The sequence below is a fragment of the Homo sapiens genome, chromosome 4 (assembly GCF_000001405.40).
Source record: "Homo sapiens chromosome 4, GRCh38.p14 Primary Assembly".
Taxonomy (NCBI): Eukaryota; Metazoa; Chordata; class Mammalia; order Primates; family Hominidae; genus Homo; species Homo sapiens.
Window position 1 is genome coordinate 82,975,943 of NC_000004.12, and position 14,788 is coordinate 82,990,730.

Genomic DNA, 14,788 nt, shown 5'->3' on the forward strand with positions numbered 1-14,788 from the left:
TAAACCTAGAAGTCAAAAACTTCCAAGATGGGTAATCTAAGAGATAAAATGGATGAGTCAGCCGCAAGGAACGGCAAAGAAAGGCATTCCATGTAAAAGGAACCTTGCCAAGACCCTTAGTCCTACAACTTAGTTTAGATCCATATGGTGATCTCTTACAATAAGTTAAATCAGTAGGTTTGGAGCTACTATTTTGAAGGTGAAAATCAAAAGGCATGCATTAGATCCTAAATGCCTTTAATGCTAAGAAAGCACTGGCATTTGAACTTAATCCTGATGGGTCCAGGTGAAGAAATGAACAAGGCCAAGAAAATTTTAAGCAAGGGTATGACAAGTTCAGATTTGCATTTTAGAAAAATCGCTTATACACAAATATAAAATCATCTTGACTGAAACATAGAAAAAGATAGTCATCTTCAATGAGAAGCCCAAAAATCATCAAAAAAAAAAAAAAAATCTCAAGGTACTTTGAAAGAGCATTAGCTAGCAGGGCGCAGTGGCTCATGCCTGTAGTCCCAGCACTTTGGGAGGCCAAGACAGGTGGATCACAAGGTCAGGAGTTCGAGACCAGCCTGGCCAACATGGTGAAACCCCGTCTCTACTAAAAATACAAAAATTAGCTGGTTGTGGTGGTGGGCGCCTGTAATCCCAGCTACTCGGGAGGCTGAGGCAGGAGAATCGCTTGAACCCAGGAGGCGGAGGTTGCAGTGAGCCAAGATAGCACCACTGCACTCCAGCCTCGGTGACAGGGCGAGACTCCGTCTTAAAAAAAAGACTAGCTGCATGGAAAAAGACTGCAGTCTTAGCTGCAATGTATACATAAAGATGATGGAATCTCCTTGTGATACAATTCAACAGAAAGGCACTTTGGTGGTTTAAAATTTAGCATATGTGAATTTTTAAAGGTTATAAAGAACTAGTTAAAAGTAGAAATTATCCCTCCAAACTGAACTTAATGCCAACAATGCTAGTAAAATTTAACAGAAGTATATCTCTATGTATTCTGGTAGGGCTATTAAGTCCATGCACAATTAAAAAATAAAGTTACAATCGGTCTGCAACACATAAACAACCCAAAGACCAAGCAATGACATTTATAAAAGTCTATGATAGTCACGGTGAACTCTTGACAATAACCAAAAATTCATTCAGACACTTCCGCGAACACCACAATTGTTTACCATACAACCCATACCTTCTCCTTCCCATTAACTAAAACTTTTCAGGGACTCTCTCAGAGTCTCTTCAGAGACTCAAAACAGTAAAGAACATCCCATTAAAACACTCCTGGTTAAGCCCCTCTACCTATACAAAAATCTCCAAGGGGACTGGTGTTTTCTTTTTCATAAATACTTCCAAGCCTTGTTTACTTATAGCCAACTGCAGCCCACTTCCTAAATCAGCTCCAAACCCAAACCCTTTCCAGTATTTTCTTTGGGGCCCCCCTGCCTCCCATGACATCTCTCAAGACATCAGCTTCCTATACTGTCACAAATCTCTACTGAGCACCAAGAGAAAGAGAATAGTCACTCACCTAACACTGCTTTCACATTAAATTTTTCCATCTCTTCTCATTAGCTAAAATGAGAAGCCTCTCTACATACAAATACAAATCAAGCCTACATACAAATCAAAGCCTCAGGAAAATGACAAGTCACTGCCACTGATTTCCAAGTTGCCTACCGCTATGTTGTAAATTTATTAAAGACAGATGGTTTTAATATACATGCTAGGAATGATCAGTTAATATTTGAGTACCCTCATCAAGAATACACAGTCTAGGGATGGGTAATTAGGATTTGAAAGTCTCTAGTCAAAAGTTTACCATCCAGAGGTGCTTTCATATAAGCCTTTAGCACAGTAGAAATTAGAAATGATCCTATAACTAGTGAAAGAGTCATTTAGTATGGCTCTGGATTAAAGACCAATCACTTGGCTGTGTGCTTTTCTCTAAAAAACTTGAGCTGCTAGCCAAACAAGGAATAGGAGGGTTGGACTTAGCCAAGCCATTAGAGAAAGAGACTGGAAAAAGACAATCAATGGCGTTTACAAGAGAGCAATAGGATGGGTCATGGACTTCATCTTGAGGAAGGAAGAATTTGAGGACAGGAAAGGAATGATTACTGAGAAAGTGGAAGAATCAATGGACCAGAAATTCAAAGTCAATTGCTGGATTGGGAGTAGAAAGGCAAGTAAACTAAAAGAATAAAGAGAACGAACACTTGAAGTCAAGATTTCTGAGGTGATATAGTGATTGGTGATGACAAATTTTAAAGTATAAAAGAGAACTGGGCCACACTAAGGAGTATTCTAGTAAAAGTAATTCAGCTAAAATTCTGTTACCACTTAAGTAATTACTATTATTGTGACAATTTTCTGTTTACAGAGAACTCCATATAGAGTATATTAAAATACTGAAACCAAAAATTCAAACAGAAACCATGAAATACTATACTCTTGTGAATATTAATTTAAATTTATTAAAGTTAGCACATGTGCTCCAGAAACAAATTGCCTGGGTTCAAATTCCAGCTCAGCCATTTACTAGCTGAATGCCTCCACTTCCACACTGGCAAAACGGGAATGTTATTAGTACCTACCTCATAGGATTGCTGGGGAATGATATAGTCACTATATGTAAAGGGCTAAGAATGGTGCCTAGCACACAGTGAACACTGTATAAATATTAGCTACTATTACTGGAGTTTGAGACTTTGCTAGTATCATGGTAAATTTCTACCAAAAACTAAGGAGACTAAAGTAATGAACTGATTTTCAGATGAGGCATTTTGCTTGAAGCAAACACTTCTTATTAACTAGTCTGGTTTATAATAATAAGCTATATTTGTTACACTAAAACATTTTAAGTTGGCAGAACAGCCTTTTTAAATCTAAAAGGAAGATAAATATTTAGCTTAATAAACTATAAAGAAATATAACCTGCAATAACTGGTGGTGAAACTTGAGTTGTCTGTCCTGTAACTGCTTTACTATTAATTGGTTTTGCAAAGATCAGCTTCGTGATTACTGGACCAGAGGTTGGCGTTCGAGGCTTCTTAGCAATCTGAAACATATAAATAACTATGAAGACCATCTGTTTCTATAAAATGCCTATTAAATCAAAATTATACCAAAGATTCACACAAAGTAGCACATGTAAAACCAGCTCACTTAACAGAATATATCTGTGTGTTAATGTTAAGAACATTTAAAATGCAGACATTCATCAAAATATTAATATTATTATATCCTTAATCCCATATATAATAATACCTTTGCATTTTATTACAATTCCTTATTTTCATGTCTTGGATATATGCATATGATGAAAACAAAATTAATAATAATGCTTAATGAAAAAATAAAACTGTGGCACAGTAATATTCTTGTTCAAAATAACAAATTACTCAATAATAAAAAGAGTAAGTAAAGAAAGTATAGTGCGAATGACAAAGCCACCTATATACACAATTACATTGGCCCTTGGATGCAAAATATAAATAAATACACATTAAAGGTAGGCTTATGACTAGATTTTCAACTTTAGATCTAAATATCAGGAGTAGATTAAGGGAGAACTAAATAAGTTAAAGCCCTAGGGTACAAAAGAGAAAAATTTGGTAGAACAGAAACTATTATAAGGGCAACAGCTCTGAAATATTATTTACTAAACTATTATGTACTACACTTTTCTTCTTTTAAAGATGGGGTCCTGGCCAGGCGCAGTGGCTCACGCCTGTAATCCCAGCACTCTGGGAGGCTGAAGCAGGCAGACACTTGAGGTCAGGAGTTCAAGACCAGCCTGGCCAACATGGTGAAACCCTGTCTCTACAAAAATACAAAAATAAGCAGGGTGTGGTGGCGCACACCTATAATCTTAGCTACTCGGGAGGCTGAGGCAGGAGAATTGCTTGAACCCGGGAGCAGAGGTTGCAGGGAGTCGAGATTGCACCACTGCACTCCAGCCTGGGTGACAGAGTGAGTGAGACTCTGTCTCAAAAAAAAAAAAAAAAAAAAAAAAAAATACTGGGTCTCATCTCGTCACCCAGACTGGAGTGCAGTGGTGCACTCATAGTTCACTGCAGCCTCAAACTCCTGGGCTACAGCAACTGTTTATTATATTTTAAATTCCTTGAAGAGAGAAACTATATTTAATTCATCTCCAATTTGAAGTTACATATTGGCACACTGTTGACCTGAATTATAATTCTCCACAAGTCAAGGAGTGTAGAGTTACCAATTTTTTATATTGCGATTATCACCATATACAAAGACACAGCTTCTTCTAAAAGTTAAAAGAAGAAATTTACCTGGGATAAAAATCAAAGAATTTTAGAGTGTGAAGAACATTAAATATTAATTATATCTTTTGGCAATGAAAATTGAGACTGTAAAAGAACTATTTATTATAGGAAATAGTGACTCAAATGAAAAAATATGACCAACATGAATAACAGAAATACACCGGAAGTTATGATAGATCACAGAACTAGACAAATATTAGCTCTTTGTGCTCAAATTATAAATTAAACTAAATAACACATCTTACACCTACAATATATTACTTTTTTATACTCAGAGCACATTACTGACAAAAACCAACTGTATATAAAATACAAATCACTTAAAAAAAAACATACCCATTATTGTATTTAAAAACGGCCGACTTGCAAAACTATAACATACTCAAATAAATCTATAATTATACTCTAGAAAGCTAATGAAATTTAGAGAAATACAAATTTCTCAAGTATGTTTACAGACTTAAAACCCTAAAGTCAGTCAAAATTGTATCTATTGTATCTATAATATTAACAATCTCTAGAGGTAGAAGTATTAATATTCTTAGAAAGCCATATTAGCAATAAATAACCTTAGCTATAACAATTATGGGCTTAAAGTATTTCCCCATTTTAAACTGATTTTTCACAATCATGAGTATATGAATACTTATCAGTAAGAAAAAAATATAAACAGTACAACCAGAAGCACATTAATTATTCAAATAAACAATCTCATCTTGCCCTTGTGGTTATGTTTCTTTAGTGGTGCTGAAAATAATAACTTTTGGTTCCATTAAGGAACTATGATTTTTTTGCACTATGAATTCTAAAGTATCCTGGAACAAAATTATTAAGTAAAACAAAGCATCAAAGATTACTTTAACAAGTTTATAGAATCAGCAGCTTAAGATAAACATGAAAAAAAACTTACAAATAAGGTAGTAAAATATGTCATCAAATAATATATACAAGTAATTTTTGGCACTGTGTTGGATAGATTCAGGAGCTAGTAAGGAGTTATATTGTTCCAGACTGCTAGTTATGTACTACTCTTATATACTATGCACAGGAAACATGGGAAAGTGTTTATATATCTGTTATTACATATAATTATACCTCTGTTACTGCCTCTGGCTTCAAAGGTCACCTCTTTTCTTCATTTTTCAAGATGGCCTCCATCTTCCACCGTTGCCTGCTATCTATACCCTAACAGTCTCAATACTCTGACTAAACTTAACACTGACAACTACCTAGGGGGAAAAAAACCAGAAAATCATATACTCTTTGTAATACTAAACCAAATATTCTGGTGTCAAAAAAGGAAAAAATATAGATGCATAGTTTTTAATTTGTCTTTTGTGCTTCAGAGCTTTGAGGTTACTTCTGAGATGGAAAGACTTAAGTCGCCTAAAAATAATGGATTGTACAAGTAAAAAAAATTCTAAATCTAATTCCTTTTTATTGTTTTTTTTAATAGAATTCTTTTTTATTAGATAGAAACAGGCTTTAGAAAACTAACAATAGCCCAGGTGCAGTGGCTTATGCTTGTAATCCCAGCACTTTTGAGAGGCCAAGGCAGGTGGATTGCTTGTGTCCAGGAGTTTGAGACCAGCCTGGGCTACATGGCAAAGCCCCATCTCTACAAAAAAAATACAAAAATTGGCCAGGTGTGGTGGTTTGCATCTGTAGTCCCAGCTACTTGGGAGGCTGACGTGGGAGGAGCATTTGAGCTTGGGGGGTCAAGGCTGCAGTGGAGCACCCACTGCACTCCAGACTGGGTGACAGAGAGACCTGTCTCAAAAACAAAACAAAACAAAACAGAAAAGTAACAATAAAACAAGTTATAAGAATTAGACCCCAGTCTTTTTTTTATTGTCATTACTTAGGGAGTTAAAGTAGAGAAATAATAGATACAAGCAACACTGGTCATTGAAATGTCACATATACCTTGCTCTCATAAATGAAAAAAATGACATTCTAATTTATGATATCTTTTCCTTTTTTAGTTTATTTTTATTTTTTTGAGACAGGGTTTTCCTGTAGCCCAGGCTGAGGTGCAGTGATGCGACCACAGCTCACAGCAGCCTAGACCTCCCCGGCTCAAGCGACCCTCTCACCTCAGCCTCCTGAGTACCTGGGACCGCAAGTGTGCGCCACCATGCTGGGCTAATTTTTTGTATTTTTGGTAGAAACAGGGTTTCACTATGTTGCCCAGGCTGGTCTCGAACTCCTGGCCTCACAGAATCTGCCCACCTTGGCCTCCCAAAGTGTTGGGCTTACAGGTTCGTGAGCCACCACACCTGGCATCAGTTTCTTTTGAACATAATTATGATCCATATTGCCAAAGCCAAATAAACTTTGGTAAACCAATAAAAACAAGCTTCAAAACTGAGGACAAGATGCTTGATGGTGATAAGATATCTCATCCAAGAGATTCTTGGCAAAAATAAGAAGTAAAAGGAAGTCATAGATAAGTGAGAAGTAATAATGAACAAGAAAGAGCACTAAATGTTTAATAATGGCAAAGGGGACAGAGGCAAATTATAAGATTTAAGAAATTCTACAAAGTTCTTAAATGCAAAGCCCATGAAAAGTGGTTTCTAATTCTACTGTCAAAACAGTAACCAAAACATTACTCTAATATCAGCTGAGTGTAGTCTCCCAAAACCTTCCTACTTCCTTCTTATGCATTTCCTATTATTTCTATGCATTCAAAGACAACTCTTTCAAACAGAGGATACATTTTTGTTTCCTGGTCATAAGTATATCACTGCATTTCTTGTTTTTTTTTTTTTTTTTGAGATGGAGTTTCGCTCTTGTCACCCAGGCTGGAGTGCAATGGCGCGATCTCGGCTCACTGCAACCTCTGCCTCCCGGGTTCAACCGATTCTCCTGTCTCAGCCTCCTGAGTAGCTGGGATTATAGGCACTCGCCACCATGCCTGGCTAATTTTTTGTATTTTTAGTAGAGATGAGGTTTCACCATGTTGGGCAGGCTAGTCTCAAACTCCTGACCTCAGGTGATCCGCCCACCTCAGCCTGCCAAAGTGCTGGGTGGGATTACAGGCTTAAGCCACCACGCCCCGCCGATCACTGCATTTCCAAGAGTAGTGGTGGCCTAAGAAAGCCTATTTGGGCATGATAAACTGGAAATCACTTAATATATATTCCAGTAACCTTCTTTCTTAGGGTCCTATTCATACTAATAATAGGTACCATTATGAAACATCCTCAATATTTTGAGAATTATACTACACATTTCATCTTGATCAAAAAGTATTCTTAAGATAAAGTCAAAAACTCAGAGAAGATAAGTAACCTACGAAAGTTTTCCATAACTGGTAGGATAAGATAGAGGCAACTCAAGCCCAGTTGGTACAACTCTAAAGCCTGTATGTTATCTTCCATCACATGTCACTGTCTTTTCCATAGTACAAACATGAATAATGGCAATGAACAGTAAACTCCAAATAAAAGGCACACGCTGGCTGACACGCACTATTACTGGCTCTGAGGGTTTCTCAGAGCAACAAAGTTCTCCTAGCCTTTGGCCATCTGTGAACTGAAAAAAAAAAATGTTGTCTACATGATTTTTTTGATAGCCCAGCAGCAAGTCTGGCATATTTATACCAGCAAAACATCCTTGTAATCAAACTACCACTAAGAATAAAATGCATTTTAAAATTAGTAAAAGGCTATAAATATACTAATTTGGAATTTAACCAAAATTAAGTTTGCTTTCTAAGTTATCTGGTAAAAATTTTCATAAGCATTAGACATATCAAACTTAAAAACACACACACACAATTACATAAAACAACATTCAAAAGAATTCAGTAACAACTATGTATTTAGTAACCCTATAAACACAACTATGAATCAGTTAAATTTTTTTAAACATGCATTTTAATTAGTAAGCCCCCTTTTTTCTTTTACCTGTACTGTTTTTAACTGTTGGGTCTGTAACACAGAGGGCTGAGTTGTAGTATTAATCAGTTGACTTCCTGGGGTCAATGCTGAGACACCAATGACAGGTTTCACCTCTGGCCTCCCTCCAATGGTAACTACTTTAATTTGCTGCGGTGGTAACTTAGCATCTCCTGACTGGGCCTGAGTTGTAACTTTCTGAGCCTGGGGTAGTTGGCTATGGGGTAGTGCTAAAACAATTGGTGAACCAGACTTGCCCAAAGTTGTTAAAATTAACTTCTGTCCATCTGGTTTAAGGGTCTGATTGCCAAGTTTAAGATCAGATGTCTGTGATACTTTGTTTAAAATAATCTGATTGGCTGATATAGTCACAGGAGTCTGAGCACCAAGTTTTTGAAGGCCACTTGGAAAAGCTGGTTTCACTGTGGTATTAGAATCTGCTTTAGTAATTGTGGTATTCACTGCAACTTGGTTAGTGTGGTTACTGTACACTGTGATTGGTTCCGTGGAAATGGGCGTGGCTGTAGAGTCACCAGTAGAATTTATGTTGACAATTTCTTCCAGTTCTGTCTCCATGGGAATTGGGGATGAAACAATAACAGCCTCAATACTATCATCATCCACTAAAGTTATACCAGTGTCCATTATTTCCTCTGGAAGCAAACTATTCACCTCAGCTGGCACCACCTCCATGATCGTTCTCCCGCTAGAAAGTTGATCAGGCACTGTAATAAAAGTTGAAAAATGAACAAGTTACTAGGTTTCAAAAGATGTAAGAAAAAAATTCAAAAAAAATGCAAATGGCAAAATGACAATTTTTAAATTGATATATAATTGAATGAAGAATATTCCTGAAGCTTATCTGGGTTAAATCATGTTAACACATCCTCAACCTGCAAGAATCTATAATATAAGTCATATGGGAACACAAAACTAGAAGCAAACATTCTTACTCTCGTCTCAATCCACAAGTATCTTGCACTCAGGCAACACTAAGTCACATAATCACATGAAACTCCTTTCCAACGCCCTCTAATAAAATTTGTAATCTTTGATGTATCTGATCTTATTTCTACCCAGATTTTTTTCCTCTCATTGACAGACTTGAAAACTGCTGATTCACACAAGGAAATAAAGATTTAAATATTAACATATTGTAAAATACATTCAAATCTCCAATGAGCTACGTCCTAATATGAGTGTACTATCCCATTTTAAAAATCCATTAAATACCCAAATTAAAGTTAAAGGAGTTTCTAGAGTAATACATCTCAGCAATTGCAGATCAAATAGCATTTGTGGTACAACTTTGACCAACTAGCTTCATACCAGGGAAATTTTTATTTGGAAAGAAGATTCTCAAACCCTCCTTGGCCATTTACTTACTTACTTAATTAATTAATTATTGAGACGGAGTCTCACTCTGTTGCCAAGGCTGAAGTGCAGTGGCACAATCTCAGCTCACTGCAACCTCCGCTTCCTGGGTTCAAGCAATTCTCCTGCCTCAGCCTCCTGAGTAGCTGGAATTACAGGCGCCTGCCACCAAGCCGGGCTAATTTTTGTACTTTTAGTAGAGACAGGGTTTTGCCATGTTGGCCAGGCTGGTCTCGAACTCCTAACCTCGGGTGATCCACCTGCCTCGGCCTCCCAAAGTACTGGGATTACAGGCGTGAGCCACCGTGCCTGGCCATCCTCCGCCATTTAAAGTGTCAAAAAGAACCATTTAAGAGATGTACAGCCAATCCCCATGAAGAAAAAAAGTAATAATCATAAAGCAGATTACGAAAAACTTTGAGCTGTGGTACTTTTAGCCAAAGGTCTGTAGAACTTCCAATAAAGGAATCAATTTTATTATCTTCATGTATAAAAGACAGCACATCATGTTTATGACAGACTAAATAGCAGTGAGTTATTTGCCCAGAGAACATCAAAGATCCATAGGAACCAAATCAGCAACTTTCTTCTCTTCCTTTTCGTTTTTGAGACAGAGTCTCGCTCTTGTTACCCAGGCTGGAGTGCAGTGGCGCAATCTCGGCTCACCGCAACCTCCACCTCCCAGGTTCAAGCGATTCTCCTGCCTCAGCCTCCCAAGTAGCTGGGATTACAGGCATGTGCCACCACGCCCAGCTAATTTTTTGTATTTTTAGTAGAGACAAGGTTTCTCCATGTTGGTCAGGCTGGTCTCAAACTCCCAACCTCAGGTGATCTGCCCACGCTGGCCTCCCAAAGTGCTGGGATTATAGGTGTGAGCCACCATGCCCGGCCCCCTTTTTTTAAATATAAAAATACACCACCCCGGCTGGGCATTCTGGCAGATCACGAGGTAGGCAGATCACAAGGTCAAGAGATGGAGACGATCCTGGCCAACATGGTGAAACCCCGTCTCAACTAAAAATACAAAAATTAGCTGGGCATGGTGGCATGCACCTATAGTCCCAGCTACTCAGGAGGCTGAGGCAGAAGAATCACTTGAACCTGGGAGGCAGAGGTTGCAATGAGCCGAGATCGTGCCACTGCACTTGAGCCGGGCGACAGAGCGAGACCCCATCTCAAAAAAAAAAAAAAAAAAAAAAAAGATACAACACCCATCCAAAATTAACACACAAGTAGCAAATTACAACTATTAGCATTGGCAAATACTACTACCACCAAAATAAACCATCATTATTGAGTGCTTACAACACTGATGACGTAATTTAATTTATCCTCACAACAACTCAGAAATGGGAATCATCATTATCCCTGTTTTATAGATGAGGCCATTTAGAAAGGTTAATTTGCCTAAGGTCACATAGCTAGTAAATGGTAGAGCCAGGACTCCAGCTCAGGTTTTTAATATGCCACAGTTAATTATCTTGGCTGGGCACACTGGCTCTTACCTGTAATCCCAGCACTTTGGGAGGCCGAGGTGGGCAGATCACCTGAGGTCAGGTGTTCGAGACCAGCCTGGCCAACATGGCAAAACCCCATCTCTACTAAAAATACAAAAATTAGCTAGGCGTGGTGGTGGGTGCTTGTAATTCCAGCTACTCAGAAGGCTGAAGCACAATAATCGCTTGAAGCCGGGAGGCGGAGGTTGCAGTGAGCCAAGATCGTGCCACTGCACTCCAGCCTGGGCAACAGAGTGAGACTTTGTCTCAAAAATTTTTTTAAAAAGATGCCACAGTTAATAACCTTAATCCCAAAATTATACTCCCTTAAATGTTGCCATTGGTGTTTTAAAACAGGGAAAAAATAAGTCTACTTTTCTAAGAAAAAAACAAAAAACAAAAAACAAACGGGATACATGTGCAGAACATGCAGGTTTGTTACACAGGTATACGTGTGCCATGGTGGTTTGCTACACCTGTTGACCCCACCTCTAAGTTCCCTCCCCTTGACCCCAACCCCCCACCAGAACATAATGTGTGTTGTTCCCCTCTCTGTGTCCATGTGTTCTCAATTCTTCAACTCCCACTTATAAGTGAGAACATGCAGTGTTTGGTTTTCTGTTCCTGTGTTAGTTTGCTGAGAATGATGGCTTCCAGTTTCATCCATGTCTCTGCAGAGGACATGATCTCATTCCTTTTTATGGCTGCATAGTATTCCATGGTGTATAAGTGCCAAATTTTATTTATCCAGTCTATCACTGATGGGCATTTGGGTTGGTTCCATGTCTTTGCTATTGTAAATAGTGCTGCAATAAACATATGTGTGCATGTGTCTTTATAGTAGAATGATTTATATTCCTTTGGGTACATACCCAGTAATGGGACTGATGGGCCAAATGGTATTTCTGGTTCTATATCCTTGAGGAATCACCATACTGTCTTCCACCGTGGTTGAACTAATTCACATTGTCATGAACAATGTAAAAGCATTCCTATTTCTCCACAGCCTTGCCAGCATCTATTGTTTCCTGACTTTTTAATAATCGCCACTCTGACTGGCATGAGATGGTATCTCATTGTGATTTTCATTTACATTTCTCTGATGATCAATGATGTTGAGCTTTTTTTCATGTTTTTTTGGCCACATAAATGTTTCTTTTGAGAAGTGGGTCTGTTCTATCACTAAAGATTATTTGTCTTTTTGCTCATTCCAGAACTTCATTTAAATTGAATAATATATTATGTACTTATGACATAAAGCAATCATATGGTATGAGTTTTTTCTCTCAGCATGCTTTTGAGATTTATCTTTATCGTTTTACTTATTAGTAGTTCTATTCCTTTTTACTGCTGAGTAATATTCCATTGTACAAATTGACCACAATTTGTATATGCATTCATCTGTTAATGGACATTTGGACTGTTTCCAGTTTGGAACTATGATGAATAATTCTGCTATAAACTGCTATAAATACTTAGGTTCAAGTTTTTTCAGAAAATACGTTTTTCATTTCTTTTGAGTAAATATCTAGAAGATCTGGCAATTCCTTCTAGGTGAATCACATGGTAAGTTTATTTTTAATTTTGCATGAAACTGCTAAACTATTTCCCAACTTAGCTGTACCATTTTATACACCCTCCAGCAATGTATGAGAGTTCCAGCTGCTGCACAGCCTCACCAACAATTGGTATTGTCAGTCTTCTGTTGGTCTTTTCAACTCCAGCCATTCTAGCCTATGTGAAGTGATATCTCATTGTGTTTTTAATTTGCAATTCCCAGATGATTAATGACTCTAGCCTCTTTTCATGTGCATATTGTCTGTCTGTATATCTTCCTTTGACAAGTTCCTGTTAAATTTTTTTTTCTTTTAAAAATACTGGGTTTGGCCGGGCGCGGTGTCTTATGCCTGTAATCCCAGCACTTTGGGAGGCCGAAGCAGGCAGACCACAAGGTCAGGAGATCGAGACCATCCTGTCTAACATGGTGAAACCCCATCTCTATTAAAAATACAAAAAATTAGCCAGGCGCGGTGGTGGGTGCCTGTAGTCCCAGCTACTCAGGAGGCTGAGGCAGGAAAATGGCGTGAACCCGGGAGGCGGAGCTTGCAGTGAGCCAAGATCACGTCACTGCACTCCAGCCTGGGCAACAGAGCCAGACTCTCTCTCAAGAAAAAAAAAAAATACCAGGTTTACAGTCTTATTGAATTGGATGAATTCATTATGTATACTGTGAAGTTATCAGTCACTTATAACATCTTAAAGGACTCACTAGGGTTTTGGGACACCAAAGTACTAGCACTTCTTTATGTCGCTCTTCCTGATCAAAGAATCCCCTCTGGCACTTATGGGAATTCACAGCACAAGAATGTAAAAGTATCAACATCAAATATACATCAGCAATGACAATCACAACAACAATATACAACAAAGGGCTCCACTCACAATGTCACACTAGCTTTCTTCCCCAAACCCCAAGAGTTGAATCTGGATACTACCCCCAACGAATGATGATTTAGTTCCTATATCCAACAGAACCATAAAAGTTTGACTCCTTCCTCTCCCTGAAGTTCTTCCAGCATATTTAGACATAGGGGTATGGCCTTTGGTCCCCATAAGGACACACAGACATCAGCCCAACCCCTATTAATCTTTCTCTTTAAAGCACCTGAAATTAAAGAGTAGGAGGAGGGAGAGGTCAGGCCACAGAGGGAGACTGTGGCTTTAGAGCAGTAAGCAAAGCTTGCATTTACTTTCATTTTCAAGCATTAACCCCTGCAGCTCAACCAAACTTCTAAGGTTTTGAATCCACCTAAAGCTCTATATCCTTATTGTGGACACCATATGTTCTGCTTTGAGGGCTCCTTAACTCAGCAGCTATAGCCACATTGCCTTTCAGCAGAGCAGGGGCCATGAAGTTGAGTGTACAACAACCAAAGCACCATTCAGGTGGTATGTTTCAATCCTACCTCTCAACTAAGCCTCTAAATTATTCATTAACAGGTAGAACAGTGGAGGACTTTCATTCTCCCCATCCCCACTGCCCTTGCCCACCACCTGGGTGAGACCATTCACTAACAGATGCCAGAGAGAATTTTCATATCTCCTAACCTAGCCCAAGAGGCCCTCATCCTTCCTCCTTCAGAATGCCATGCCTGTCAGCACCCCATCCTCATGGCCAAAACTATCAAGAACTGTGAGGGTCTGAGACTTTCAACTCTCTTTGAAAGCTAACAAAGTAGCCTAGTAATCTTCCATGGATACCGGCAGAAGACACAGTAGTCATGTGTCAGAGACAAAAGGACTTTTGACTCACAGTACAGCAAGGAACATGAGCATTATGTGTGTATCAGTTCCCCCATATCCCCCAAGTCCCGCAGGGAAGACACAGGGGGGTCCAGGTAGATGCCACATATGCAGTAGGTTTGTATCATAACTTAGGAACCCTGAGCTTAGGTAACACAAATCTTTTTTTTTTTTTCTGAGACAGAGTCTCACTCGGTCGCCCAGGTTGGAGTGCAGTGGCGCGATCTCGGCTCATTGCAAGCTCCGCCTCCCAGGTTCATGCCATTCTCCTGCCTCAGCCTCCTGAGTAGCTGGGACTACGGGCGCCCGCCACCACGCCCGGCTAATTTTTTGTATTTTTAGTAGAGACAGGGTTTCACCATGTTAGCCAGGATGGTCTCGATCTCCTGACCTCGTGATCCGCCCG

The 14,788-nt window shown here is 38.8% G+C and overlaps 1 protein-coding gene across 10 annotated transcripts in view, besides 2 other annotated features; it reads right to left on the minus strand.

Annotated features, from left to right (window-relative positions):
- The window catches only part of LIN54 (lin-54 DREAM MuvB core complex component), an 88,339-nt gene that overhangs the window by 51,340 nt on the left and 22,211 nt on the right, over nt 1-14,788 (minus strand). For 4 of the 10 annotated variants that reach the window (NR_110254.2, NM_001115007.3, NM_001288997.1 and 1 more), the window contains 2 exon segments: nt 8,882-8,934; nt 2,941-3,064 (listed from right to left, as the gene is read on the minus strand). Coding sequence is in view for 8 of the 10 variants with exons in the window: in NM_001115007.3 (NP_001108479.1) it covers nt 2,941-3,064; nt 8,882-8,902 (145 nt within the window). In the remaining 2 variants the exon portion in view is untranslated. 10 annotated transcript variants of the gene reach the window in all.
- Nucleotides 13,864-13,913: an enhancer, noted in NCBI's record as "active region_21666". NCBI's record gives its function as "activates an Ori minimal core promoter by ATAC-STARR-seq in GM12878 lymphoblastoid cells {active_cell/tissue: GM12878}" and the evidence as "EXISTENCE:reporter gene assay evidence [ECO:0000049][PMID:35858748]".
- Nucleotides 13,964-14,073: an enhancer, noted in NCBI's record as "active region_21667". NCBI's record gives its function as "activates an Ori minimal core promoter by ATAC-STARR-seq in GM12878 lymphoblastoid cells {active_cell/tissue: GM12878}" and the evidence as "EXISTENCE:reporter gene assay evidence [ECO:0000049][PMID:35858748]".